This window comes from Homo sapiens, chromosome 19 (assembly GCF_000001405.40).
Source record: "Homo sapiens chromosome 19, GRCh38.p14 Primary Assembly".
NCBI classification, from domain to species: Eukaryota; Metazoa; Chordata; class Mammalia; order Primates; family Hominidae; genus Homo; species Homo sapiens.
The window spans coordinates 16,608,217-16,634,463 of NC_000019.10; the positions used below are offsets into that span (position 1 = coordinate 16,608,217).

A 26,247-nucleotide genomic window follows, 5' to 3' on the forward strand; every position below is an offset into this window, starting at 1 on the left:
TGGTGACACTTTCAGGAATCAAAGGAGCCATTACTAACAATTACATTATATAAGCTTACAATAAGTTGTGATAAGAACAAAGGAGGAAGTTTTCAGTACTGTGTACTCAAAACTCATCACTTCCTACTTATTTTACCAAACTTAGTACTATCTAGGTTTCTGAGGTTATTCATGACTACTGTATGGGCATGGAGGACATGGTGTGCTACTGAGTCTCTTTCCCAACCTCACATTCAGTGATCTCATGTTAGTGGCTTGAAGCCAGCCATGGTGAGAGTATTTCCACCACAGAAATCAGTAAACACTATAAATCAGGGCTTGATTTTATGGGCTCCAAACTAGAAATCTGCAAACTCCTGGGCCATTCCATAACACTGTCTGTTTTTGTAAATGAAGATTTTACTTTTTTCATTTTACATGCTGTTTATTGAGGTAAAATTCACATTGACATAAATTAACCACATCAAGTTTTACTGGAACACAGTCACGCTCATTCACTCACATACTGTCTCTGGCTGCTTTTGTGCTACAAAGATAGCAGTACAACAGAAGCTCTACGGCCATATGGCCTGCAAAGATGAAAATATTTACTATCTGGCCCTTTACAAAAAGTTAGCCAACTCCTGGGGTTTAGACTTAAGAAAGTGATGGAGAAAATGTTAATAATGCAATTAAACTTAAAAAGCGTGTCATGCCTGAAGTCATTACATTGGGAACAGGACAATTGAGAAAATATTCTTATAGTACAGGTATTTGAAAACTATTATCTAATTCAGCAAAGACATCACTTGACTCATTAATACAAAGATATCGACCAGGCTGGTGCAGCGGCTCACACATGTGATCCCAGCACTTTGGGAGGCTGAGGCAGGTGGGTCACTTGAGGCCAGGAGTTCAAGACCAGCCTGGCCAAAATGCAGAAACCCTGTCTCTACTAAAAATACAAAAATTAGCCGGGTATGGTGGTGCACACCTATAGTCGCAGCTGCTTAGGGGGCAGCATGAGAATCACTTGAATCCGGGAGGTGGAGGTTGCAGCGAGCGGAGATTGCACCACCGGACTCCAGTCTGGGTGACAGAGCGAGACTCCGTCTCAAAAAAAAAAAAAAAAAAAAAAAAAAGAGAGAGAATAAGATATTAACCAAAGTCATGTCAAAACCAATCAGAAGCTGATACAAAAGCTCAGCAAAAATCAACGGAAGCAGCTGGTGAGAAGCAATTGGCTATATGGAACTGACAACAGTGTTGTATATTTCATTATTATTTGCAAATTATATGCCACCCATCCTTTATACTAGTAAAACTCATAAACTTACATGCATATTTACATATGTATATGTATGGATTTCTTTTCTTTTTCCTGAGAGCTGGTTGTCAAATTTTCACCAGCACACCACTGTCTATACCTTAGTATATGCCTTATGTAAATTAGAGCTTCATTATTTTGAAGTGCTTGAAATAGAGTCTGAATGAAACTAAAGTCCATTTGCATTATTGTATTTCAACATTACATATAAATGAAAAGATTAAAGAATCTGGATTTTTTAGAAATGCCAACTCATAAATTTTTCAATGTTTACTAAAAAAAATGCTTCCAAGTTTTATCACCTTCTTGTGCAAACAAAATTTCTCCACAACAATTATCAAAGTCAAGCAAAACAGAAACAAAAACAAAACCCACACCCTAACATATAAAAGTTATGTTCTTGGACACAAGCACTCTTTAAAAAAAAAAAAAAAAAAAAAAAAAGGCAATGTTATTTCAGTAATGTTATTCAAGCCGGGTGTGGTCGCTCACACATGTAACCCCAACCCTTTGGGATGCCAAGGCGGCCAGGAGTTCAAGACCAGCCTGGGCAACACAGCGAGACCGTCTCTATAAAAAATACAAAAATTAGTGAGGTGTGGTGGCTAGCACTTGTAGTTCCAGCTACTTGGGAGGCTGAGGCAGGAGGATCCCTTGAGCCCAGTAGCTCAAGGCTGTAGTGAGCTATGATTGCGCTATTGCACTCCAGCCTGGACAAGTAAAGTTTTTAGAGCAAGACTCTGTCTCTAAAAAATAATAATAATAAGCAAAACCTTGCCTCTAAAAATAATAATAATCATAATGTTATTCAACACAAGTTCAGTATTAACTATGCTCCCTAACACCCTGTATTTTATTTTCCTTATAATTTCTTTTTTTTTTTTTTCAAGACTGAGTTTTGCTCTTGTTGCCCAGGCTGGAGTGCAATGGTGTGATCTCGGCTCACCACAACCTCCGCCTCCCAGGTTCAAGCAATTCTCCTGCCTCAGCCTCCTGGTAGCTGGGATTACAAGCATTAGCCACCACGCCCAGCTCATTTTGTATTTTTAGTAGAGATGGGGTTTCCCCATGTTGGTCAGGCTGGTCTCAAACTCCCGAACTCAGGTGATCCGCCCGCCTCAGCCTCCCAAAGTGCTGGGATTACAGGTTACAGGCGTGAGCCACCATCCTTATAATTTCTATGGTAGAAACAGCACATGCACTTTCCCCTAGTCTCGCCTCCAAATTACCCATTGCACCCTGTGGATGCCACTGTTTCCTATGTGTGCCATGACATGGAAGGCTGAAAGCAGTGTGACAGCAGGAGGGCATGGGCTCTGTATAATGGGTGGCCAGGAGAGGCCTGAAGAAGTCCGACTGTCACAAGAACTGGATGAGGGAGAAGGTTCTCCCACAAGAATGAGGGCAAGGGTTCAAGTTAAGCTGAGAAAGGAAAGAAGGGCCCAAGGCCTGTAGCATGTGTAGATCATGACAATAAGGAATGTGGGCGTCTATTCTAAGGGTGATGGAAAACCACTGAAGGATGTGAAGTGACAGTGGTGTCATCTGCTTATCGGTATGGAAGGGACAGGACCAAGAGGGAAATGGCCAGGGTTGGACTCGAGATGGAGGGCAGAGGAGGGCTGGAGAACATGCATCCTGGCAGTAGCCCCCGGGCCTCACAGGTGGAGTAGGTGACTAAGGTGAGAGGAAGGCAGAGGCATGGACCACTCCAGGGTGTTTAGCAGAGCCATGGGGTGTGGCTTCACTGACTGTGTGGAGAAAACCAGGTGTTGTCCAGTCATTTTTGGTGGGATGGACCTCTGGGAACATGAAGAACATGACTGGTGGCCTTGACTGGAGTGTTATGTTGCACACTAGTGTTCTGAACCTTCCGGAAACGTATGAGAGGGGAACTAATCCTCTCCACTGATTGCAGTACATAGAGGCCCGCAATCCACTCCACAGCCGATTGCTCTCTATAGTGCTCAAGTGCTCTTCAGGCTAGAGCAGCCTACTTTTATTTTCATTTTTTTACAGTTTAATTGAAAAGACAATGGAGCATAGGGGAAAACAAACCAACCCATTCCCCCTGCCCCAACCAACACAAGTGCTTCCATTTTACCCCAAGTTCTAGTTCTTTAGGCATCCAGCCTATCCAGATGCCTGAGTCACAAAACCACTCCTTTCCCCCTCATGGTAAGGCCTGCCCATTTTTCTATAGAGCCTTCAGAATCACGCTTTCGGCTATAGGCTATTTGACTCTGTGGATGCACCATGATTCTGAAGCTTCTCCCATGCTGTTTAAAAATAAACTTCATTAAAAAAAAAAGAAGTAAATGGAGACAAGGTCTTGTTATGTTGGTCAGTCTGGTCTTGAACTCCTTGCCTCAAGCGATCCTGCCACCTTGGCCTCCCAAAGTGTTGGGATTACAGGCGTGAGCCACCAAGCTCAGCCTGTAAATAAACTTCCAAGAGTAAAATTACTGGGTCACAGGACATGAGCATGTCTATGCCTCTTGCTACATAAATAGTTTCCAAGAGGGTGACAGTGGCTCTGAGCTCCTGCCAACAGGGTGATGCAGGTTGTTGGGGGTGGGGTAGGAGATAGGCCGGGAGAGATAAAACAGCAACCCGCTGGCTTAACATCCAGTCTTGATTACCCACCAAGGCCATTCTGCCCACATGTTTTTGTGCAAGGTATATGTTCCAGGTATCAATTACGTCAACATTTTTCTGTCCAGTAAAATCTTGGAGATCTTATGATTATGATTACTTTTTGTGTGTTTGGTTTTTTTCTTGAGACAGGGTCTCGCTCTATCACCCAAGCTGGAGTGCAGTAGCGTGATCTTGGCTCACCCTAGCCTCAGCCTACACAGCTCAAGCGATCCTCCCACCTCAGCCTCCCGAGTAGCTGGGACTACAGGCACATGCCACCAGCCCCACCTAATGTTTGTGATTTCTACTACAGACAAGGTGTCACTATGTTGCCAAGGTTGGTCTCAAACTCCTTGCCTCAAGCGATCCTCCCACCTCGGTCTCCCAAAGTGCTGGGATTACAGGCTGGAGCCACCATGCCTAGCCACAATTGTTGATTCTAAAGTATGTCTCTACACAGGAAGAATATTGGCTATTGCTTCTGAAAGGCAGCTTCATGTGCACAAAGTTGTATTTTGATCATCCCCACCTGCAACTGCAGCACAGAGAGATTTGGAAAAGTACAGGCAGCTTTTAAACCTGCTTGTGAATTTCAGCCTAAGCACCTCTTCCAAGGAAGAGGCTCTGGACCCTGACGTCTGGGATTTTGTTCTACAACCAATTTCTTCCTGTTTTCCCCCGAGGGAGCATTTAGAAATGTGTAAATTATGCAATGTTGTCTTGTAACTGCTCCTTGCTGACACTAAAGGAAAGACTACCCTTGAAAAAGAACAGCATTTGTGAAAATCAAAGTTCAGTATCTACAAACTCATCTAGGGGTGTAATACCCCCTAGCTCCTGAAAAGTCGAGAAGGGGCTTATACATGTTTAGTACCTACTAGGTACTAAATTTCCTTTCAGGCACTGTTTACCTTTAGTAGGATAGGGACGTCCTCACTTTATAGAGAGTATTAATAGCACTGATAAATATTTGATGTGATTTGTCCAAGGACATATAACTTGGAGACGGAGCTGTAGAGATTCGAATCCAGGTCTAATTCCCAAACTCTTACATATTAAATACTTTTCTTTCTTTCCATCTTTCTTTCTTTGGGAGGAGGGGAGAGGAGGCTTAGAGGATTTCTAGTTGATTGTTAAACCTATTCATCAACCTACTCATAAGAAATGAAAAGCCTCCCTTCTCCACAAGAAAAGACCTCATCAACTGGAGCTGACATGGCTCAAAGGCTCTAGAGATGTCAGAGGCCGTGTCTGGCTGGGGAAGGGACACGGGATCCTCTGCACTCCACAGCAGCTCAGGCACAAACTCCCCCACTTCCGAGGTGGAAAAAGACAGCAGAGTCCCCAGCTCTCTACCCAAGGCGCTTGACGGGCACTGTCTAGGTGGCACTGGCTTCACATGCATCCCCCTTCCCTCTACAGTGGGCAGCAGTGTTATCTCCGGATGAAAGCAAAGGCTCTGAGGGCAGAAGGAGTCGGGCTCACAGCTGTGCAGTGCCAGCGACCTAACCTCACTATGCTTCAGTTTCCTGAATCAGCCCATCTATAAAATGGGATAATTCTTAGCACAGAGTGAGCACACAGTAAGAGTTGATGCTGCTGTCCTTGCAACCATTTCTGTTATGGCCCCAGGATAAAGTCCTTATAGTCCCTTATAGATTTACACCAAAGGATGTCGAGCCCTTGGTTTGTGAAGTGGGACTGGTAACTAGATTCAATGAGATCCATGCCCTGGGCTTGGTGACAGAATCAATGATGGAGTTAAAATCCTCACTTCCCCCCTTCCAACCGCATGGCCTCAGGAAGACAACATCCCAAACTCATCTGTCACAGGAAGACAGTACCAGCATCTTCATGATCAGGGTGACTAAATGGAGGCTAGGCATTGTGCCAGGCTCTCAACATACCTCAAGCCCCACAGGATGGTATCACCAGGTGATGGCAACACCAGCTCCATGTCACAAGTAAAAAGACTGAGGCTCGGAGACATTAAGTGATCTGCTCCAAGGTCACCAAAGTAGAAGCAGCTGAGAAGGACCTGAAGCCTTCCAGCTAAGGTCCAGAAGCTGTGCTAAGGGTAGTGTCTGGCCCGGCGCACGGTCTCACACCTGTAATTCCAGCACTCTGGGAGGCCGAAGCAGGCAGATCGCTTGAGCTCAGGAATTTGAGACCAGCCTGGGCAACATGGTGAAACCCCAACTCTACAAAAATTACAAAAAATTAGCTGGGTGTGGTAGCGTGTGTCTGTAGTCTTAGCTACTCAGAAGGCTGAGGTAGGAGGATCACTTGAGCCGGGGACGTAGAGGTTGCAGTGAGCCGATTGTGCCACTGCACTCCAGCCTGGGTGACAGAGTAAGACCCCATTTCAAAATAAAATAAAATAAAATAAAAAGGTGGGGGGTGGGTGGGGAGTGTCTGCCCAGGCCTGGAGGGAGGAGGCACGTGCAGGCTCATGTGGGCCTGAGGGGTTCACCAGGCCACTGGGTCCTGTCGACGGCTTCTGGAATCCCCAAACCTAACGGAACTGAGCGATACACACAGGACAGGCTCAGCGCCTGGGTGCAGACCATGCCAGTATGGCTCCAACAGACCCCTCGAACCATGGGAGGAATCCAAAGGGCTGAAGGTTGGAGAGAGCCAAGTAACCATCACAGGAAGGGGGCTTCCTCCAGGGGTCTGGCCAAATCCAGCCGCAGCCACCTCAACCCCAATACTAATCAGCTAAATGACTAAGCCCCACTAAGCCTGAATTCTTACCCCCAAGCCCAACTGGGTCCTCCCAGGTTAGGCAATGCTACTTCTGTAATCTGAAGTCAGAAATGGACCCACATCCATTTGTAAACTGGTCACTGGCCCTAACAGAATGAATGGCTCTCTAAATACCAGCAAGAAAACAACCAACCAGTCTTTGCTTCAAGGGGAATGGGGGTGGGGGAAATGACAGGCAAGTCAGACCGGTTACAGGAAGCACTGCGGGAAAGATCAGACCAGGATGCCTGCAATAGTCAGAAGACAGGGATGCTTATGGAGGCTCTGGACCCTGAGACCAGAGAGGCAAGGAGGGAGAGAGGGCAGGTGATCAGGTGGGGTGCACAAAAAGGTCAGGAGCTGACTGATGAGCAGCTGAGCATGGCTGGAGCAGGAGAGGAATAAGAAGGGCTACCTGACCCAGAGCCTGGGGCACAATGTGCTCAGATGATTCTTTACTGACTCTCTCAGTTGCAAGTGAGGGAAAAGTCAGCTCAAATGGGTTTTATCAAGAAAGGAAACCACAGGCTCACTTAGCTTAAAAATTTGGGGCAGCCAGGCGTGGGGACTCACGCCTGTCATTCATCCCAGCACTTTGGGAGGCCAAGGTGGGTGGATCACCTGAGGTCAGGAGTTCGAGACCAGCCTGGCCAACATGACAAAACCCTGTTTCTACTAAAAATACAAAATTAGCTGGGTGTGGTGGCAGGCGCCTGTAATCCCAGCAACTTGGGAGGCTGAGGCAGGAGAACTGCTTGAAACCAGGAGGCAGAGGTTGCAATGAACTGAGATTGCACCATTGCACTCCAGCCTGGGAGGCAGAGCAAGACTCCATCTCTGGGGGAGAAAAAAAAAAAAAAAGTTTAGGACAGGCTTCACCTCAGACCAGCCAAGCCACAAGGTCTTAGTCCTCTCCACTCCTCTGACCAGGTCTTAATCCTGGACAGGCTGCCTCCAGGCAGCAAACCCCAGCAGAAAACAGCTCACATCCTCTTCCATTCAAGTCTCCCCAACCTACTCCAGCAAAGTGCTACAACTTTCACAGGCTCTGATTGGGTCACAGGTCTGTCTCTGAACCAATCACTGCCCAGGAAGATGCAGCCCCATTACTGGCCAGTCCTACCTACATTACTAACCATCCAATGGGCATGGACTGGAGAGAGGAAGGGGCAGCTCTCAGGAAAACGAGGATGCAGAGACCAGGAGGAAGGCCATGGGAGCTAGATGGGCTCTCTACCACCAAGCCTGTGTATTATTAGGTAGCATGCATGTGAGCACCCAGGATGCTTCAGGCACAGGGCCATGTTCCATTCTTAAAAGCCTTCCTATGCAGCATTTTTTACATCTTTCTGGAAAAACAAAGGCTGCAAACCTAACCTTGTCGAAGGTTGCAAGGTGAATGGCAGAGTCAATGGTTCCAACTCCATTCTGCTTAAGTCCTCCACCCAGGAGAAAGACTGTCTTCTCCACTATATGCCACCTAAAGAGCTGAGACTCTATCCAGCCAGCAACACGACACCACCAGAAAAGTCAAACATCCCTATCTGTTTTCAGACACACAGAGGCAGGAGACTGACTAGGACACTGCTGCACTAGACCCCCTGGAGGTCCAGCTTGCAGGAAGAAGGACTCCAGGATGGCCCTAAGGTGGTCTACAGAGCAGTAGATCATGGCACCACCAACAGACACAGCACAGCATGACAAAGGCAGAGATGAAGAAGGTGTATCCACTTTGGAGTGGGCTGTCTAGACATCCAGGCACAGGAGAGAGCAAGTGTCCAGGTGCCAACGAAGCTGTGGCTCTGAGACTACCTGGGGAAAGTCTTAAGGGCCGAAGACCGTGAGCAGTGCTACACAAAGCCAAAACGCTTAGGGGGAGCAGGCACCACTGGAAAGGGTTGTGTAGAGAAAAAAGAGACCAATGCAGCAAGGGGCAAGGGAACCAGGTAGGCAGACACCCCCCCACTGCTAGGCCTTGTCATTCATTCCAAGTGCCCATGGTGAGCACAGAGAACAGCGCCCTAAAGAGAAGACAACCTGGCGTGACAAACACAACAGGCATCCTTGTGCCCAAGGACAGCTCATCTTCCTAAACAGATGATGCCACTTCCTACTTCCCAACTTGAGGGAGCCCACCACCCGACCAGATAGGAAACCGTGTTCACAGTGCTCTCAACACAGAAGAATCATCACCAGGGTGATGAGGAGGTGCCCACTCGGTCACACCCCTAACTCCTTGTTGGGCTGACAGCGTGTCCAGAGAGGCAATGCACAAGTCTTCCACATACCATCCAGCACAAATACCACCTGCCAACTACACCAGAACACCTAACGTGCCCCCTCCCCATTCCAGGCCAGGGTTTTCACCATTTTCCTTCAGGTACACAGGGCTGCAGCAGCCTGGGGGCACATGCTGTTTCTGTCTGCACAAAAGGTCCTGCTCCTTCGGAAACACCTCCCTGACTTACTGTGGGCACTGCCACTTTCTTACAAGACCCTCCCATGGCACCCCAAACCAAGCCAGAGTGTGTCTCCTGAAGTTTCCGGAACTGGAAACTAGAAAGTAACTCCTGTCTACAACAGGTCAAACTCAGGAGCTGCTGCCTTTCCCAACACATGAAGCAGCCCATCCACAAGACAGGCGGACACACAGACACACACACATAGTGTGGAGGACCAGAAACAGAAAAGATTCCCTCTCCCTTCTCTCCACCCCAATTTCAATCCCAAACAGCACTTATTTAAGCTCAGCTCAGTGTTTAGAGGAAGGAAAAAGCTGGGGAGCAAATGCGGAGGAGCTCACAGGAGAGCAGTGCTGAAGCTTTCCTGGGAGAAGACAGGCTCCTCATTCAGAGGCCCACAAGTTCAGGCACTTGCTTGCCCACCAACCATCAAGGTGAGAAAATGAAATGCTTGAGAAGCTCCCTTAAGGCAGAAGTGAAGGTGGAATACCCATTCACAAAACTTTCCCTCACAGACGAGCTGAGACTTAACATGTGGCCCGTTTCCGTCACGGCCAGGCAAAAGGGGGAGCAGACACCAACATCAGGTGCTTACTGAGAGCCCCCCCAGAAACACAAGGTGGGGTTGGGGAAATGGAGGCTGCAAAAGAAAGATCACTTGACTCTACCCCTCTCCATTAACCGAAGGGGAAGAAGCCAGGCCAGGAAACACAGGTACGAGTTTCCGGTTACCCAGAGGGGAGGCACAGATGAGAGGAAACAGGCAGGACAATCAGACCCAACAGATCTCCCAGCCTCTGCCCAGGGTCCACAAATTCAGAGAAGCTACAGGAGGGGCCACAGCTCTTGCCTGGGTCACAGCGCAGTCTCCTCATGACCACAGGAGGCCTGGTGGGGTTCAGGCCACCTGGACCGCACCACCTCCCCCAGCAATGAGCTCCATTCCAGGCAGTGACTGAAGCACCAGGAGAGACTGTCAAGACAGGGAGGAAAAAACAGCACCATTCAAGACTGTCTCCAGCCCAGGACAGGATCTGAAGCTGCAGCTGGCCAGCACCTGCACTCGGACAGCGTGACAGCGAGGTCCCCAAGGGTGACTACAGGCAAATGGAGTCTGTGGTTTAACCAGAACAAGAAGGTACTCACAACTCCACGCGGTGACCTCACACCAGCCAAACCACCCTGTTGCTACTCTGGACCTTACATTTCCCATTTTTTTCCCCAAAAACTCCCATTTTGCCTTCTGGAGCCAAGGCCCAACTATTTGGCGGTCACATCAGGAGAGGTGATGACATCAGTGCACATCCATGGACACTGGATCCACTATTCTTCTCCCGTTAACAGGACCTTGATGTCTCCTGGGAACATCCCCTCTATTGTGGGACTGTTTGGGTGGAACCCACAGCAGATTCAGGGGTAAGCCAATCAACTAATTCAATCAAACTGCTAATCCAATCAAAGCTCAGAGAAGGCATAAGGAAACGTTTGGTGGGGCTTCCAGCAAAGAGTCGGGAGTTCGGTGAGGGAAAATCCTGAAACTGCTGGGATGGAGAGGAAGACACCCTACTGTGTGAAGGCAACACTGCAAAAGAGGGAGACAGAAAAACCAGGTCCTCACCTGACCGCAGACTTGCCTTTGGGCCTGCATGACCATCAGCCCCTTTGTGTCTAAGCTCCTGCCACCAGCACAGTGCTAACCTCCCTTTAGGGCTGGACAGGCCACAGAATTAGTATAGGAAGTAAAGACAAGTGCTGTGCAGGCAACCAATTAACACGGAAGGAAACAATGTGAACCAATGACCACCCAAAAGGATAAAACTGTTCTTATTTTATATCCCTTCACATCAGTATCACGGGTCTCCCACTGACAGCACTGAAAAGCCAGCTTGCTGACTGCTTGCCTAGGCACCATGCAAGATGCACCTGGGAGGTGAATGGAGTTGGGCAGCATCTATAAAGGGTTCTGGAGGGCTGGCCTGCAGAACAGGAGAGCCGTTAGCTACCATGGTAACTACTACATCACCCTGGGGGGAACGAGGATGTGGCCACCTCTCCATGCCTAACTCAAGCTGGGCCAGGAACCTGATGACTAGAACGGGGGACATCAAAACAAGTCATCAAGGGGATAAGAACTTAAACCCAGTGTGTGCAGGGGGCTGCCCAGAGAGCCAATGTGACCAGGAGTGTGGGTGGGAAACAGAAGAGTGCACTACCGTGCTGAAGGCACAAGCAGGCAGTGGGGCTGCCAGGGCCTGGGAGTGCTGCCAGCCCACTGGGCTCTCGGTGTGGGCCATGGGTCACACCCACCTGAGTCCTCCCAGTAACTCACCCACTGCTGATGCCTGCACCACAGAACCCCCACCAGAGTCAAGGCCAGCCACAGCCAACGCCCTATAAAACCATGCTGTGCACCCAGCACACGAATACCCGAGTCTCCACAGCAGCCACGAGGCTGACCCACCACCAGGGTGTGGCCTGGACAAAGCAGCACCCTACTTTCTCACCATAGCAAATGAAAATCTGGGGGGATGTGTGTCCAGGAATGCCATGTTTTGTCACATGACCAAAAAAGGCCGAAGGATCGCTGGGGACCCAGGCTTCACAGATGAAGTGACATTTGAACAGTGTCTAGGGACCATGGACAGGCAGAAATCTAAGATCAAGCGCCGCCTTCTCTATTAGGGTGAAAAATACCTGACGAGAAAGAGAGGAAAACACACCTCACACCCCTTCTTCAGCCAGTTCCAGAGAAAGCACAGAGCATTTTAGTGACCACTGTCCTCCCAGTCTGGCATAAGAGCAGTGCACAGATGAATCCAGCATAAACAGCTGGACCCAGGCAAGAAAGGGGAGTGCCTGCGCAGCAAGTGCCCACTGGCCTCTCACATGACAAGGGAGGCAGCCAGCAGGTGGCTGTGTTCCAACCCCAGCCTCATCCCATCTAGCCTCCTTCCAGCTGTGTCCGCTGAGCCTCAGTTTCCTCACTAGTACCTGCCTCCTGTTTAATCTACACCTGCTATGAAGATTAAATGTGTTTTGAATGCAGGTGAAGTGCTGAAAACCGCTGGCACCTAGGACCTGCTCAGTAACGCTGACAGCCATTCCCAAAACTGGCCCTGTTTACAGTGAGAGCACCAAGCATTTGGGCACCCACGTGCTGTGGCAGTTCTAGACACTAAGGGAGCAACACCTGCTCTCCTACTTGGGCACTTCACAATCACATGGAAAATGTAACCAACAAGACCTGTTATCAGCAGGAATATAAGGTGTTAAAATGATGAATGGTTCCTGAGGGAGACGGTCTTGGATTAAGCCAGGTAAGGTTTCAGAAAAGGGAGGCAGTAGGGATGACAGGAGGCTCCCAACTGGAGGCAGCACAAAGGTCAAATTCCAGGTGTCACACACATACAGGTAAGGCCTGCTCTCAGAGTTACACTGATGCTGTTTTGATGACAAGACAGAACTTCATTTCGAAGCATGACTGGATTAGGAGTAGGTTCTGTCCTCGAATTTTCTTTAAAACAGTTACTCAAAGCACACCTGTTGTTATGTGAAGCTTCCAGAAGGTTTCTGATGATAAAAATGAACCCTCATACTCAAAAAGGTTTGGAGCCACTAGGCTAGAGGAATTTAAAGGGGGAAAAGTTGTAGGAACTGGGAAGGAATGGAATTCAAAATGTAACATGTGAAAACACTTCATGTTTGCAAGGGTACACCTTGGAAGACGCAATGGAGTTCAGCTTCCATGCTGGGCACCACCGATGTGGGAAGCGGAAGACTGTCGTAGTTAAGCCCTCTGACATCAGAACCACCCAGTGATGGATTCAGACCCAAGGCTTCTGGTTCCCTTGTCTGCAATACCAGACAAATCGGTGAATCTCTCCTAGCCCCTAAAATGAAGATGAAGCACCTACCCTAGAAGTAATTCAAAGAAGCAATGAGACACTCCACACAGTAGTGTCTGGCACTGTGTAAGTGCTCAGTAAACAGCGGCTGTTCGTCTTGCAGCCTCTGCTGCCCAACAGAGACTGCTGCTGGCACACAGGAGACCGAGCCTAACTCTGCATGCAGGGGAAACCTGATGAGCCCCCTGACGTTTTCCAAGATTCATTTTCCTGCAGTGGATGAACCCAGGAAACTTTGCTGCAGTCACAGTAACATCCAAAGGCCTTTAACCCCAATTGCCTGGCAATCCTTGGGATGTGAGTTCCCAGAGGGCTGCTGGTACTTCACCTGACATGACCCCTCTCCTTTTGAATAGGCTCCACAGAGAATCGCAGAACCTCCCGGTACTTGGATGGTCACAGAATCCAAAGGCCTATACACAGAATCCAAGGGCCTGGGTATGTCCACATAGCCATCTCACAGTGCCCCCAGACTGTGTTAAGTCAGCTCTGACAATAATCCACCACTTCCCTAAGCACATCACAGAACTCTCACCTTCCCCACCCTAGGCTTGCCTCCAAAAGCCACACAGAGCAAATCTAATCCAGAGGGTACAACAACACCCCAAATACTGAAAACCAGTGCCATGTAATGCTACCCCAAGGCCCTTCCCATTTTCTCAAGCCCAGACACCCCAACCATACCCACAGACACAGCTCGACATCTGCCTGTGCCCCATCCCACAGCAGAGAGGGAAAACTGTGCAATAATTTGCCGACTGTTCCTTCCAGCTCTGTTCCCCTCATGCCAGAGACAACGCAAGAAGAGCCTGCCTGCCTGACTACAGAACTTATTCTGAAAACCTGGATGATAGAATATACTTAAGAAAGCCATCTCATATTCTTAAGAATTCTCAACTGTTTTCAAATAAGGCACGGGGAGAACTGTTCCATTTGGACTTGAGACCTGCGGCACCATCAGGCCATCCCTGACTGCCGAGCCCACATGCCACGGCACCCCACCCAAGCTCGTTCATGACCATGCTCTATCTGCCCTCCTCCCTATGAGGCGCCAAGCCCCTTGGGCACAGGGGCTGAGCATCTTCAGGTCTGTACCCTCTACACCCAGCACACGAGCACTTGCTAATCAGTTAGTGACTGAAATGTAACTGCAGTGCCTCCCAAGGCATGGAATGTATTCAGAGAAGGCCTTTAAATACAGCATGTAGAATTATCGGTATGTCTTTCTTACTCAGGAAATGCTTCCCGGTTCAGGGAATCCCGATGGCAAATCCACACCCTGCTCTAAGAGTGAAAAGCGGCTGTTTTGGAAGGTGCTCCAAGCATGGGTGCTAGCGAGACCACACTGGAATGAAATGTGCTGCCTCTCCTTTACTCACTGTGCCACAAACTTGGCCACCCATTCTGACAACCAGCTCCTGGTCCCCAAAGGAACCAGGCAGACGTGGGACAGCCTACCACTAGGAATACAAAGGAAAAGCACAACGTGCAGTAACAAAGCACCCAGTTTCCAGAAGGAGATGATAGTGGGGAAGTGGCCAGGGGACCCCTCCCGCTGGACTGGAGTCACCTGGAGTCAGCCTGGTTAAACTAGAGCTCCATCTGAGAAGATGCTCGCAGACCCCAAAACCAAGAAAAGGAAAGCCAAGTGTCCTCCTTCACCTAAGAGACCTTGGCGCCCTTAAGCTACATGTCCTATCTTACACAGCTGCCCAGGGGCTGACGTGACCATGGTGCCTTTTTACATCTGTATCCAGAACAAAGCCCCTGACCACATGCTGGTCTTGGACAGTCCTCCAGGGCTCTGGGACCTCCAACCAGGACAACATATTCTGAGGACCACCCAGAAACCTCAGTGAGGAGAGACTGTAAAGTCCACTTTCTCCTGAGGGACAGAATGAGTCAAAGACAAGGACATACACCTGTGTCACAGGTGATACTTGCTACCTTTCCATTTCCCGAAGTCAGAGAACACCACGCTGCTCCTCTCCTGTGTCCTGGCCACAATATACAGAGTAAAGACAGGAGAGTCCCTGAATCTGGGCAATTGTGGATCAGGTGGCATTTACATGTTTGGGTTTAGGGTCCTCTACTATTTTGGATAGGGTCAGAATCAAGAGTCCTTCATTTTGCAATTTACACCATTCTGCTTTTCTGCAGAATAAATGGCATTTTAAGTTAATATCAAAAGTGCTGTAATGTTGAAGTAGAGAGCAAACTGGTCACACAGATTCATGAAAAGTTCCACATCGGTTGCTAGTTGCCACACCGTGGTCTGGCCCAGGTTTCTGTCTGTGACAGAGACCTTAAGATGTTCACGGGACAGGCTATGTCATATCACCACCCTGTTAGATGTAACATAGGTAAATCCAGCCCCAATCTGTAATCTCACATACACTTGTAGGGGACGTTACAGGATCCTCACACGTTTTCTTACCAGCTCAAAAATGCTGCCCCCTCGTGCCTCTTCCGGAGCCATCTCTCCAACTTTCAAGGCAGCGTGGTGGTGTTCAGAGTTGAAAGGACTCTAAGGACTGTCACTTAATGACTCTGGGTAAGTCCCTAACTTTGGTTCCACCACCTCCCATTAAGTCAGTAAGAAACAAAAGCATTTTATCCTCTGCTTGCCCCTGGAGACACCCACTGAGCAGCACCTATTACCTGATGCTGCTGGCTTCTGCACCTGCAAAAGGGGAGACTGGCTCCCCCACTCACAAGGCTGTTGGGGAGAAGCAGAACTCTCTGACAGGGTGCCACACAAACTAACAAAGCATACACCTTGGTTTAGAATTTTGTTAGTTGAGAAACTTCACACAATGTACCTTGCAAAGATATATTAAAAAAAAAAAACCCCTTCTAGAACAATTGACATTAGTCTCTGCTGTCCCTTCTAGGATCTGAACTTAGATCTGGAAGGAGCTTTATGGGGTGCATACACCAGTTCCCAATCCCACCCTGTGGACAAGAAATCTGCAGGCAAACCAAGGTAAGCAACATCCAACCTTCCAATTCTTAGGTGGGAAAATGATCTTTCTTGCTGTGTCTCTCTGCAGAGTGCCTCGGTCACCTCTCCCTTGGTCTCTGTTGCCTGAAGAGCTGTGAAAAAGAAAGCAGCTCCCAAGGACGTTTCCCGCTCAGAGCCTGGCAGCTGGAGGCACTGACACACGCGGCCAGGGCTAGTTCAAGTCCCTCTTTGCTGCGGGACCTTCTCAGGCCTCTCCCTGGTCTGAACACAGGGCATTCACCTGCAGCTAGCAAGCCCTGCCCTGTGCGGTTATTTTACTTGCCATGAGGATGCAGTACACCGTCTACTATTCGTCGGACCTTTCCTCTAAAAGCTAAGTTTGTTAATCATCACTTAACATCTGTGTTCCTCACAGTTCTACTGAGTAGCATCTCAAGCCACCTGTGATTCTTCCACTCTCCAAAGTTCTGCATTAGAATATTCCACGACTGAACTCTTGGGCATAAAGTGGTCACAAAGGCTTCTTGGTAAAATGGGGCTCAAATGTAGCTCCTCAGGCACAGGTCCAAGATGGATGCTAGGGTTCAGTCAGTTTAAGCAGCAGGTAGAAAGTGTGCCTAATGCTTCTGCTCTAGAGGGAGAAGACAAGACAGGAAACATCCCCAAGAAGCTTGCGTGCTGCACAGGAAGATAAAGCTCATACCTCCACAGAACGAGTGTCCCAGGCAGATGGGAACCGAATCACCTGCTGAGGAGACTGCTCACTATGACTGCTGTGCGAGAGTAAGACACAGTCCTTCACTTTACCCACAATGCAGTGAGAGTAAGCTGGAACAATCATGCACACACTGCGCTTCGGAGAGATTTTCAACACCCTGGGCTGAAAGGGTGCACGACGAAAAGAAAAGCTCCAACTGCTCTGAAAAACTGTTAGTAGCCTTTTCAAAAGGAGAGTAGAGGATTTACTTTATTACTGAATTGGCAGAAATTATTAACTCTGAGCCTGCTGCTATAGGAATTCAAATGCATACTCCAGGGGCTAAAAGTGAGAGCACAGAAACTACTTTCCTCCTAAGAATTCCTTTGTCAAGGAGATGGTTGGTAAACACGACTTCGTCACTTCCCTAACTTTCCAGATACTTGTGGATATTAGGTCAGTTCCTGACACCGATTTTGCAAGCAATAGCTAAGTTTGTTAACCATAATTGCATGCCCATAAAGGTAAGCATTACATGACACAATTCTCTGCCGCTTCTCTCAGAAGAGGTTTAATTTTAGTGTTGGCTCTTCAACACTGTCCCCGTTTTTTTTTTTTTCATGAGCATCTTAAATATGTGTCAACTAAATATCCAGTAGTGGAGTTCATCATTGGGCAGGGCAGAGAGGAGAGAGCGGCACGCCGGCAGCACCTGTGCTGGAGCCACCTGCTCTCACCTGAGCCCACATTGATCCAAGAGAAACTGCAGACGCACTGACATGCCCGGCTCTCACCATCACCTCCGCCAGCAATCCTGTCCACCGCGGCTCTGTGTTTCTGCATGGTGTTTGCTCAAAGCAAACGGTCCTGTCAAATGGCCCATAACAGCGCTCAGAGGGTCAATCACAAAGGAGGCACTTTCCTCATTGTTCATAGTCAAGAAGATAACTTCCCAAATCCATCCACCCCATGTTAGTAGGACTCTGCCCAAGATCATCACTAAAGTCCCTGAAAATAAGCGGTATGAAATGCAAATTCCATGCCAGCTAACATAACCAGGGACCTATATAGCATTTCTGCATGTGCTAAGACACACAAAACTAAGATTTGTTCCATCCTCCTTTCTTCTGCCTCAAGGAACCCTTTAGATTAGAACCCTATACAATACTGGAAACTGTGAGGTCACTGGAGTGACCTAATCTACAACACTGTGATCGCCTGTCAAAGTGCCGCCTGATCCCAAAGCTCTCTGAGGTGGCATTAAGGATCAGTGCTAATATCTCAGCAACCTCTCAGACTCTCCAGAAGGAAAGCGAGTGCGTGAAATTAAAAAAATTACCTTCCGGCTCCACAAAAGATGCACAAGTCACCAAGGCTATTTTTTTCATGTCACTAGTTTTATCCTCTAATATTTCAGTCTTAAAATTGCAGTGACACCAGTTACTGCAAAAAGGACATTCTAGAAGGTTTTATATAGCTTGTGCCCACTCCACCCCCAAAGTCATAACAAAAATGTACAATATAACATTTGTTAAAGACAATTACCATCAAGTCAATGTTAATGGGACCTGAATACCAGGGATAAGAGAAGTACTTATATCACAGCAACCAGAGCCTTCGAAAAAACTCATAACCCTTCAGTCTTAACCAAAAATTGTATAAGCCAATGTGAATTATTCCCAAAACATCATCAGAGTGAAGCATATTGCTAAGAGTAATCAGCCAAGCTCATGTAAAAATGAAAGCAAAAACCCCTACGGTGAGAGAAACCTGAGTTACCTGGCCAAGCCAAAGATGATATTTTTCTTCCATTCACAGCACATTAAAAAGTGATCTCAATGGCCACTTCCTGGGAAGCAGGGCCTCCCCTCATACCTGGATGCTACTGCATCTTCCTACCGCCCTGCTCCTGCCGCGGGAAGAATGACCCCTACTGCCAAGAAACTCTTGGAGAAAATATGAGAATAGATCAGTCTTCCCCCCCACCCCCCCACCCCCGCAACAACACACACACACACACGGAAGGGGAGGGGGCGGTCCCTCCGCAAACAGTAGCCTCAGCAAAGGGGCACCCGAGGAAGCGACACTCTGGAGTTAACCCCGACAGTCTGGGTCAAAAACCACCAGGCTGAGACCCCCAGGTGAGGGAAAGAGCCTACTGAAACAGAGCTCTTGGGTAAACGGGAGAGAAAAGTCCTCTTTAATTCACTACCTAAAAAATGGAGCTCTGGCTTGGTCAGAGACGCAATGGGTACTGAGGCCCAGAAAGGCAACAGGAAGGATCCCACCCTCCCCGAGATCATCTATCGTCGGCAGCGACCCCAAGAGGGTTTTGGCAAAGGCGTGTCTAGTCACAGAAGGGAGACAGACTCTCCACGTACCCTAGGTACCCGGCCAGGGGCAAAACAGACTGGGGGTTCTCTCCGAAGCCAGGAAGGTGCTGCCAGCCGAGAGGAGGGGGAAGAAGGACTTCCCTGATCACCCAGGAGGCCAAGACATGGGAGACATAGGTTCCCCGAGTCATACCCCGGACACCAGTTGCTTCACAGCCCTTCTCCCTCCCCTTCCCGCTCCGGGAGGGCTTCCCGGGGGTCTCGGGTCCCGGAGGGAGGGCGAGGCAGAGAAGCTTCGTCCAGAGCAGTGAGGGTCGTAGAGCTGGAGCAGAAAGGGAGGAAAAACTCTAGCCTCAGCTCCCCCGTCTGCTTCCTCCGCCCAGGCCGCACGGAAGCCTCGGCCTCACGTACCGAGCGCTGCCGGGCTGCCCGACCTGCCCCCGGCCCGGGCCCGAGAAGCGAGAGGCAGGGATGGCAGCGGCCCTCGAGGGGAGGTGGGCGCCAGACGGGTCCCCCGAAGCCCGGTGGGCGAGGGGTACAGGAGAGGGGGAGGGTCCCGGGCCCATGCGGCCTCCGTCCCAGCTCGCGCGGCGGGTACTTACGTTGCTCTGGGGGTCGATGGCCTGCAGCAGCCGGTCCCTGATCTGCTGCGGAGACGCCGGAGCCGCTGTCATTGCCTGGGCGAGGCGGGGGGTTGCGGCCGGGCCAGCGGGCGGGCGGGCTGAGGCGGGGGACGGGGGTCACTCACTCGCCGGCCTCCGGGAGCCGGAGCCGCATGTTCCCCGCGGCGCCGGGGGGTTGGGGGCGCGCGGGGTGGCGGAGAGGGGAGCCGGGGCCGGGTCTCGGTCCCGGGCCGCCGCCGCCACCAAAGGAGGAGGAGGAGCCGCCGGAGCCGCCGCCGCTCGCTGCCGCCGCCTCGAGAACCAAACTCCAGTGAGCTGCCCCCGCGCGGAGTACTCTGGGTAGTCCGCGCCGCACGCAGCGTCGGCGCCACGCTGAGGAGGTTGGGAGATGGGGCGGGCGGAGACGCCAGGCCTGGGCGGGGCTGCCCGTGTGCCACGCCCCGCGCCTCCGCGCAAGCGCGCGCAGGCGCACTCGTCCGCCCGTGACGCCCCGCCCAGCCGCCCGGCCTAGGCAGCCGTTGGGAGGAGGTTGGGCGGGGCAACGGCCCCCGTCCAGGTCACGGGGCGGGGCTTTCTGACGGAAGCGCGCGCGCAAAGAGTCCTTGAACCCGGACGCTCGCAGCGGCTACCTCGGGGCGGGGAGGGCGGCGGGAAAATCCTTCCTCTGGGAGAGCCTTCCCGGCGCGTGACTGGGGGACGGGAGTCGCAGGCTGAGCAGCTGCCGAGTTTTTTGTGAGGGCGAGGGAACCAGACGTCCACGTTGTGATTCTGCGCGCAGAAGGGTCATCGGAGTCCGGGGGTGTCGCCGCGGCCCCCCCGCCCCTCAGAGGGTGTGGGAATGGGTGTGGTGGCAGGGCGGGGGTCTGCACCGCCACGCGCGACCCCGATCGCGAAAACGTGAGGCGGCAAAGCGCCTCTGGCAGAAGCCGCCCGCCGTAGCTGGGAAAGCCGGAGGTTGCAAATCTGCGTCTACGCGGCGGCTTCTCCACCTCGGCACCACTGGCATTTGGGCGGGATCGCTCTGTCTTCGGGGCGGGTCCCCCGATCTGTCGGAAGTTGAGCGGCATCTCTGGCCTCCGAAGCGCCCCCTCCCCCAATCTGCAGTCATTGCCGCCGTCCCTTGTGGGGGCACAGTCCCCCCGCCCCCCCACCGGCAGAGAACCCCGTGATTGAAAGACCCTTCTACCCGCCTCTGCCTTGAGATTCTGTAAAACTGAGATGCTCATTCTCTTAACCAAACACGTCACAGAGGAGGAAACGGAGGCCCAAGGTCACCTAGACTTCGGGGTTAAGCCCAGAACCGCAGATGTCAAGTTTAAGGGCGCCCCTCCTCCCTCCACCCTGTTTATTGCCTTGGTAATTGCTCCCCTCTCTCTGGGAGCTCTGTTGGAAATGCTCTTGTGAGACGGGATGGAAAGGCAAGCTCGGCGGCCTCGGGAGAAATCTTTTTTTTCCCACTGTTACAGGAAGACCTAGATTTAAAACAGGAGGAAGACAGCTGATGAGAACCACATGTGTGCCTTGGAGCTGCCCGACACCTGTTAGTCTTGTATTTGTTGTGCTTCTGGGAAATATTTTCATTTGCAAAAACGGCTGCTTCTGCACGTGGCTATGGTTGCGTGCTTCTGCACATGTGAAAAGTTTTACATCACACTTGGAGGAGAAAAGAAACACGGGCAAAACACTTGTCATTTACTGCTCCCAACCTCGCCCCTCCCAGAATGCGGTGCATTGTGTACATGGTGTACATGGTCCAAGTTGGAAACTGGCCCATTCGGAGATAATTCTCTCATTTCTGATAAGCAAAATAAGCAAAGCCTTCCTCAGGCATATTCTGGTCTTGCCTCTCTCTTAATTTCTAACTCGGATGTACAGTATCTTTTTTTTTTTTTAATAAAGTATTACATAGGAGGCAATTTATTTTGCATGGGTCAGGTTATTTTAAGAAACATTTGGGCCGGACGTGGTGGCTCAAGCCTGTAATCCCAGCACTTCAGCAGGCGGAGGTGGGCGATCACTTGAGCTCAGGAGTTCGAGACTAGCCTGGCCAACATGGTGAAACCCCATCTCTACTAAAAATACAAAAATTAGCCGGGCATGCTGGCGCGCACTTGTAATCCTGGCTACTAGAGGGGGCTGAGGCAGAAGAATTGCTTGAACCCGGGAGGCGGAGGTTGCAGTGAGCCAAGATCACACCACTGCACTCCAGCCTGGGCAACAGACTCTGTCTCAAACAAAATGTGGGGCCAGCCACGGTGGCTCATGCCTGGTAGCTCATGCCTGTAATCCCAGCACTTTGGGAAGCCGAGGTGGGCAGATCACTTGCGGTCAGGAGTTCGAGACCTGCGTGGCCAAAATAGTGAAACCCCTTCTCTACTGAAAAAACAAAAATTAGCCGGGCATGGTGGCACACACCTGTAATCCCAGCTACTCAGAAGGCTGAGGCACGAGAATTGTTTGAACCCAGAAGGCAGAGGCTGCAGTGAGCTGAGATCACGCCACTGTACTCCAACCTGGGTGACAGAGCAAGACTGTCTTGAAAAATAAACAAACATCTGGAAAGTACTCAACTTACCCACTTTTTAAAAACTAAGAAGCACTGACATGACTTGGTTCCTCAAGGGCACTGGCTCTTTTTGGTATCCCCAGTAGATAGAAAAATAGTATCTGTGGAGTAAGTCAATGAAAAGTTTCATCAAATACACGGTAGCGTTACACACACCCCCAGACATATGAATGCATTTCAGTTTCTACAGATCTGGTACACCATGGGTCTGGAGAGCTATTTCTGGAATGAATGAAATACTTCATAAAATATAATACTATATACACCAGGATACACAACACACACACGGATATTTAGTTTTATTCCACATTTAATGTACGTAAAAGGGTGTTTTTGTAAATGCAAAGATTAAATCAGACAGCCTCTGAATTGTAGTCTTGAAAACATTAGCAAGTTCTTTTAGGTCCAGGGTAGATACTGCAGTTCACTTAGCCAACTTTCTGCATTGAGACATCCTTGCCAGGGATCCTGTCAGTTATGCGAAGATGCGGCACGAGATAATTCCTCTTGCTGTGATGGTTCGTCCTCAATGACAGGTCCCTTATAGTATTTAGGTACAACAAGGTCTTTTGTGCTTGGAATGCCCTTGAAAAAGCTGCCTCACCTGTTTGTGAAGGGAACCCCAAAGAGAAAGGGAGAGGAAGGGCTGGGTGCAGTGGCTCACATCTATAATCCCAGCACTTTGGGAGGCCGAGGTGGGTGGATCATTTGAGGTAAGGAGTTAAGAGACCAGCCTGGCCAACATGGTGAAACCCCACCTCTACTAAGAATACAAAAATTAGCCGGGCATGGTGGTGGGCACCTGTATTCCCAGCTACTTGGGAGGTAGAGGCAGGAGAATTGCATGAACCTGGGAGGCAGAGGTTGCAGTGAGCCAAGATCACACCACCACACTCCAGCCTGGGTGACAGAGCGAGACTCCATCACAAATATAAAATAAAATAAAATAAATAGAAAAAAGGGAGAGGAAGTAGTTCAGAGTCCATGACTTGCTCTTGCCATGGGAAAAGGCAAGGAAGTTAGTGTCAGGAGGTCAAGTGCAGAGCATCTTCAGCCAACCTGGACAGTGAGGGAGTAGAAGGATGCTTCTCCCTGGACTCACTGCTGTGGCCTAAGCAGGAACCGGGATATTCAAGAGCACTGCAGAGGAAGCCGTGACGAGGCAGGTTCACACAGCTGTACAGGAATAGTCTTCCACAGCGACACCTTGTAATAGCCAGGAGCAACAGCAGGAATGCGCTCATCAGACATGTCAGAAGCAAGCCCCTGAGAGACAGGCCATTTAAAGCACAGGGTTACTAAACTTACCCTAATAAGGGATGTGAGGGCTCCAGGGATTAACAGAAAAAGCCAGTGTGACAAAAACAACCACCCTCCTTTGACCCCTATGTTTGCTTTAACAGGCGGGTGGAATTTTTTTTTTTTTTTTTTCGAGAGAGTCTCACTCTGTTGCCAGTCTGGAGTGCAGTGGCGTGATCTTGGCTCACTGCAATCTCCGCCTTTCAGGTTCAAGCGATTCTCCTGCCTCAGCCTCCCGAGTAGCTGGGACTACAGGCGGGTGCCACCACACCCAGCTAATTTTTGTATTTTTAGTAGAGACAGGGTTTCACCATGTTGGCCAGGATGGTCTCAAACTCCTGACTTCATGATCCGCCTGCCTTGGCCTCCCAAAGTGCTGGGATTACAGGCATGAGCCACCACACCCGGCCGCTGGCAGAAATTTTTAAAACCCTTTCTCATATATGAACTCATTCAACCCTATCAGTTATCTCAGAAGTACCTAGAGATGAGTTTCATAGTTCTGCTTGGCTTTGCACTAAGTCTTGTTTACTCTAAAAGTGAAACCAATTTAAATTGGTTTTGACTAACCTTGACATGTCAAAGATAGGTAGAAGACCTCAATTTTTTAATCCCATCTTCAAGTAGGGATGGGGATACAGAAAGGTTCCAGTTCTGAACGCAAGCCCCGGAACCTGGTTGGGGGGTGGGAATTCATGAATACAATACTTTAATTGCACTGTACAAACACAACACGGCTGGGACACCAACGAATGAAAAAAGTCATTAACTGTGAACATTTTTTTTTTTTTTTTTTTTGAGGCAGAGTCTCGCTTTGTTGCCCAGGCTGGAGTGAAATGGTGCCATCTGGGCTCACCTCTACCTCTTGGGTTCAAGTGATTCTCGTGCCTCAGCCTCCTGAGTAGCTGGAATTACAGTTGCATGCCACCATGCCCAGCTAATTTTTGTATTTTTAGTAGAGATGCGGTTTCGTCATGTTGGTCAGGCTGCTCTGGAACTCCTGACTTCAGGTGATCCACCCGCCTCAGCCTCCCAAAGTGCTGGGATTACAGGCGTGAGCCACCATGCCCGGCCAACTGGGAGCATTTCAATAAGCTCATACCCTCTGACCCTGTGGATATGAGCGTACTGAAATTCACAACTTCTAAAAGTTTATCTGAAGGAGGCAATCAGATGTAGACAAATGTGTATGTACAAGGAAGTTCACTGAAGCACTATTTGTAAGAGTGAAAGATTGGAAGCAATGTAAGTGCCTAGCAATAGGGGAGTACGTAAATAAACTGTGATTAGTTCCCCACAATGGGAAGGTTATGAATTAGAAGGCGCCACAGGGAGCCTTGTGGGTGCTACAATAATCTAAGCCTCAATGTGAGCGGTGACCTCACTGGTGTTTGTACATGTAGAAATTCACCAAGCTGGCCAGGCGCGGTGGCTCACGCCTGTAATCCCAGCACTTTGGGAGGCAGAAGTGGATGGATCACCTGAGGTCAGGAGTTCGAGACCAGCCTGGCTAACATGATGAAACCCTGTCTCTACTAAAAATACAAAAATTAGCTAGGCAGGTGGTGCGCGCCTGTAATCCCAGCTGCTCGGGAGGCTGAGGCAGAAGAATCACTTGAACCCAGGAGACAGAGGTTGCAGTGAGCTGAGATGGTGCCATTACACTCCAGCCTAGACAACAGAGTGAGAATCTGTCTCAAAAAAAAAGAAAAAAAAAAAAAAAAAAGGAAGAAATTCACCAAGTTGTACACTGCTGTAAATTAAACTTCCAAAGTAAATTAAGTGTGTGCGTGTGTGTGTGATGTTGTCACTAAGAAAACCTGTATTGAGCTGGGCACAGTGGCTCACGCCTGCAGTCCTAACTACTGGGAGGCTGAGACGGTTGAACCCAGGAGTTTGAAGCTGCAGTGAGCTACAACTGTGCCACTACACTCTGGCCTGGGTGACAGAGCAAGATCCCGTCTCTTACAACAAAAATAAAGCCACTATTGATGGAGAAACGCTCCCAATAAATAATAAAATGCAGCATATAAACTATATACATTGTGATCTTAATTATACTTTTATTAAAATATACATACTTATGCACAGAGTGAATAGAAAAAATATTGGAAGGAAACCAAAATATTGACAGCAGTTATCTCTGATAGATAGAATGACAGATGATGTTTATTTTCTTCTTACACTTTTTCCTAGATTAGTTCTGCATTTTCCGGCATTCATATGTATTGTTTCCCAGCCATCCTGTCAAGCGCTGGGATTGTTCTGATCTCTGGGAGCCTCCAGGGCTGACTCCAGTATGGCTAATCTAAAGTGAGCTTGTAATCTCCAAAATCCTGATGGTGGCTTTTCTATTAGGCAGACTAATAGATTCAGATATAGGTCCCAACAGTTTGTGTTTTCCTTACTGTCCCAGTTTTATATCATTATTCTTAGTACTAAACAGAGTGACAACAGGGAGTGACATTTGTTGAGGACCTACGATGTGTCAGGGTCCATGCTGGGGACTTCACATGAGGGCTCCATGAAGCCCCCTTGGACACTCAGGTCCTTGTGTCATCCCCACTTCCCGCCCGCCACTGACGCTGGGGTGAACCTGCAACTCACTGTGACTAAGAGAATGCAGTGGAAACCATGCTCTACCCAGTCCAGGCTAAAGCTTTAAGGAGGCCTGGAAGTTACCACACAGCCCAGCAATTCTACTCC

The 26,247-nt window shown here is 49.5% G+C and overlaps 2 protein-coding genes and 1 long non-coding RNA gene across 4 annotated transcripts in view, besides 6 other annotated features; 1 reads left to right on the plus strand and 2 right to left on the minus strand.

The window, feature by feature from the left end:
- Positions 1-19,988, minus strand: part of MED26 (mediator complex subunit 26) — a 53,286-nt gene extending 33,298 nt beyond the window's left edge. The window contains exon 1 of the mRNA NM_004831.5: positions 19,656-19,988. Within this exon, the coding sequence (NP_004822.2) occupies positions 19,656-19,727 (72 nt within the window). The 5' untranslated portion in view covers positions 19,728-19,988. The remainder of the gene's footprint in view (positions 1-19,655) is intronic.
- Positions 19,852-19,911: a silencer, noted in NCBI's record as "silent region_10310". NCBI's record gives its function as "represses an Ori minimal core promoter by ATAC-STARR-seq in GM12878 lymphoblastoid cells {active_cell/tissue: GM12878}" and the evidence as "EXISTENCE:reporter gene assay evidence [ECO:0000049][PMID:35858748]".
- Positions 20,012-20,271: a silencer, noted in NCBI's record as "silent region_10311". NCBI's record gives its function as "represses an Ori minimal core promoter by ATAC-STARR-seq in GM12878 lymphoblastoid cells {active_cell/tissue: GM12878}" and the evidence as "EXISTENCE:reporter gene assay evidence [ECO:0000049][PMID:35858748]".
- Positions 20,012-21,047: a biological region, named in NCBI's record as "H3K27ac hESC enhancer GRCh37_chr19:16739143-16740074".
- Positions 20,116-21,047: an enhancer, noted in NCBI's record as "H3K27ac hESC enhancer chr19:16739143-16740074 (GRCh37/hg19 assembly coordinates)". NCBI's record gives its function as "activates a minimal SCP1, AML or CMV promoter by ChIP-STARR-seq in naive H9 embryonic stem cells {active_cell/tissue: H9 hESC(naive)}" and the evidence as "EXISTENCE:reporter gene assay evidence [ECO:0000049][PMID:30033119]".
- LOC105372296 (uncharacterized) lies at positions 20,216-21,592 on the plus strand. The gene is made up of 2 exons (XR_936361.3): positions 20,216-21,032; positions 21,143-21,592. It is a non-coding gene; the product is annotated as an uncharacterized LOC105372296 (long non-coding RNA).
- Positions 20,522-20,601: a silencer, noted in NCBI's record as "silent region_10312". NCBI's record gives its function as "represses an Ori minimal core promoter by ATAC-STARR-seq in GM12878 lymphoblastoid cells {active_cell/tissue: GM12878}" and the evidence as "EXISTENCE:reporter gene assay evidence [ECO:0000049][PMID:35858748]".
- Positions 21,152-21,201: an enhancer, noted in NCBI's record as "active region_14247". NCBI's record gives its function as "activates an Ori minimal core promoter by ATAC-STARR-seq in GM12878 lymphoblastoid cells {active_cell/tissue: GM12878}" and the evidence as "EXISTENCE:reporter gene assay evidence [ECO:0000049][PMID:35858748]".
- Positions 22,535-26,247, minus strand: part of SMIM7 (small integral membrane protein 7) — a 29,394-nt gene continuing 25,681 nt past the window's right edge. For both annotated transcript variants that reach the window (XM_047439418.1, XM_047439416.1), the window contains exon 6: positions 22,535-23,508. The gene's annotated coding sequence lies outside the window, so the exon portion shown is untranslated. The remainder of the gene's footprint in view (positions 23,509-26,247) is intronic.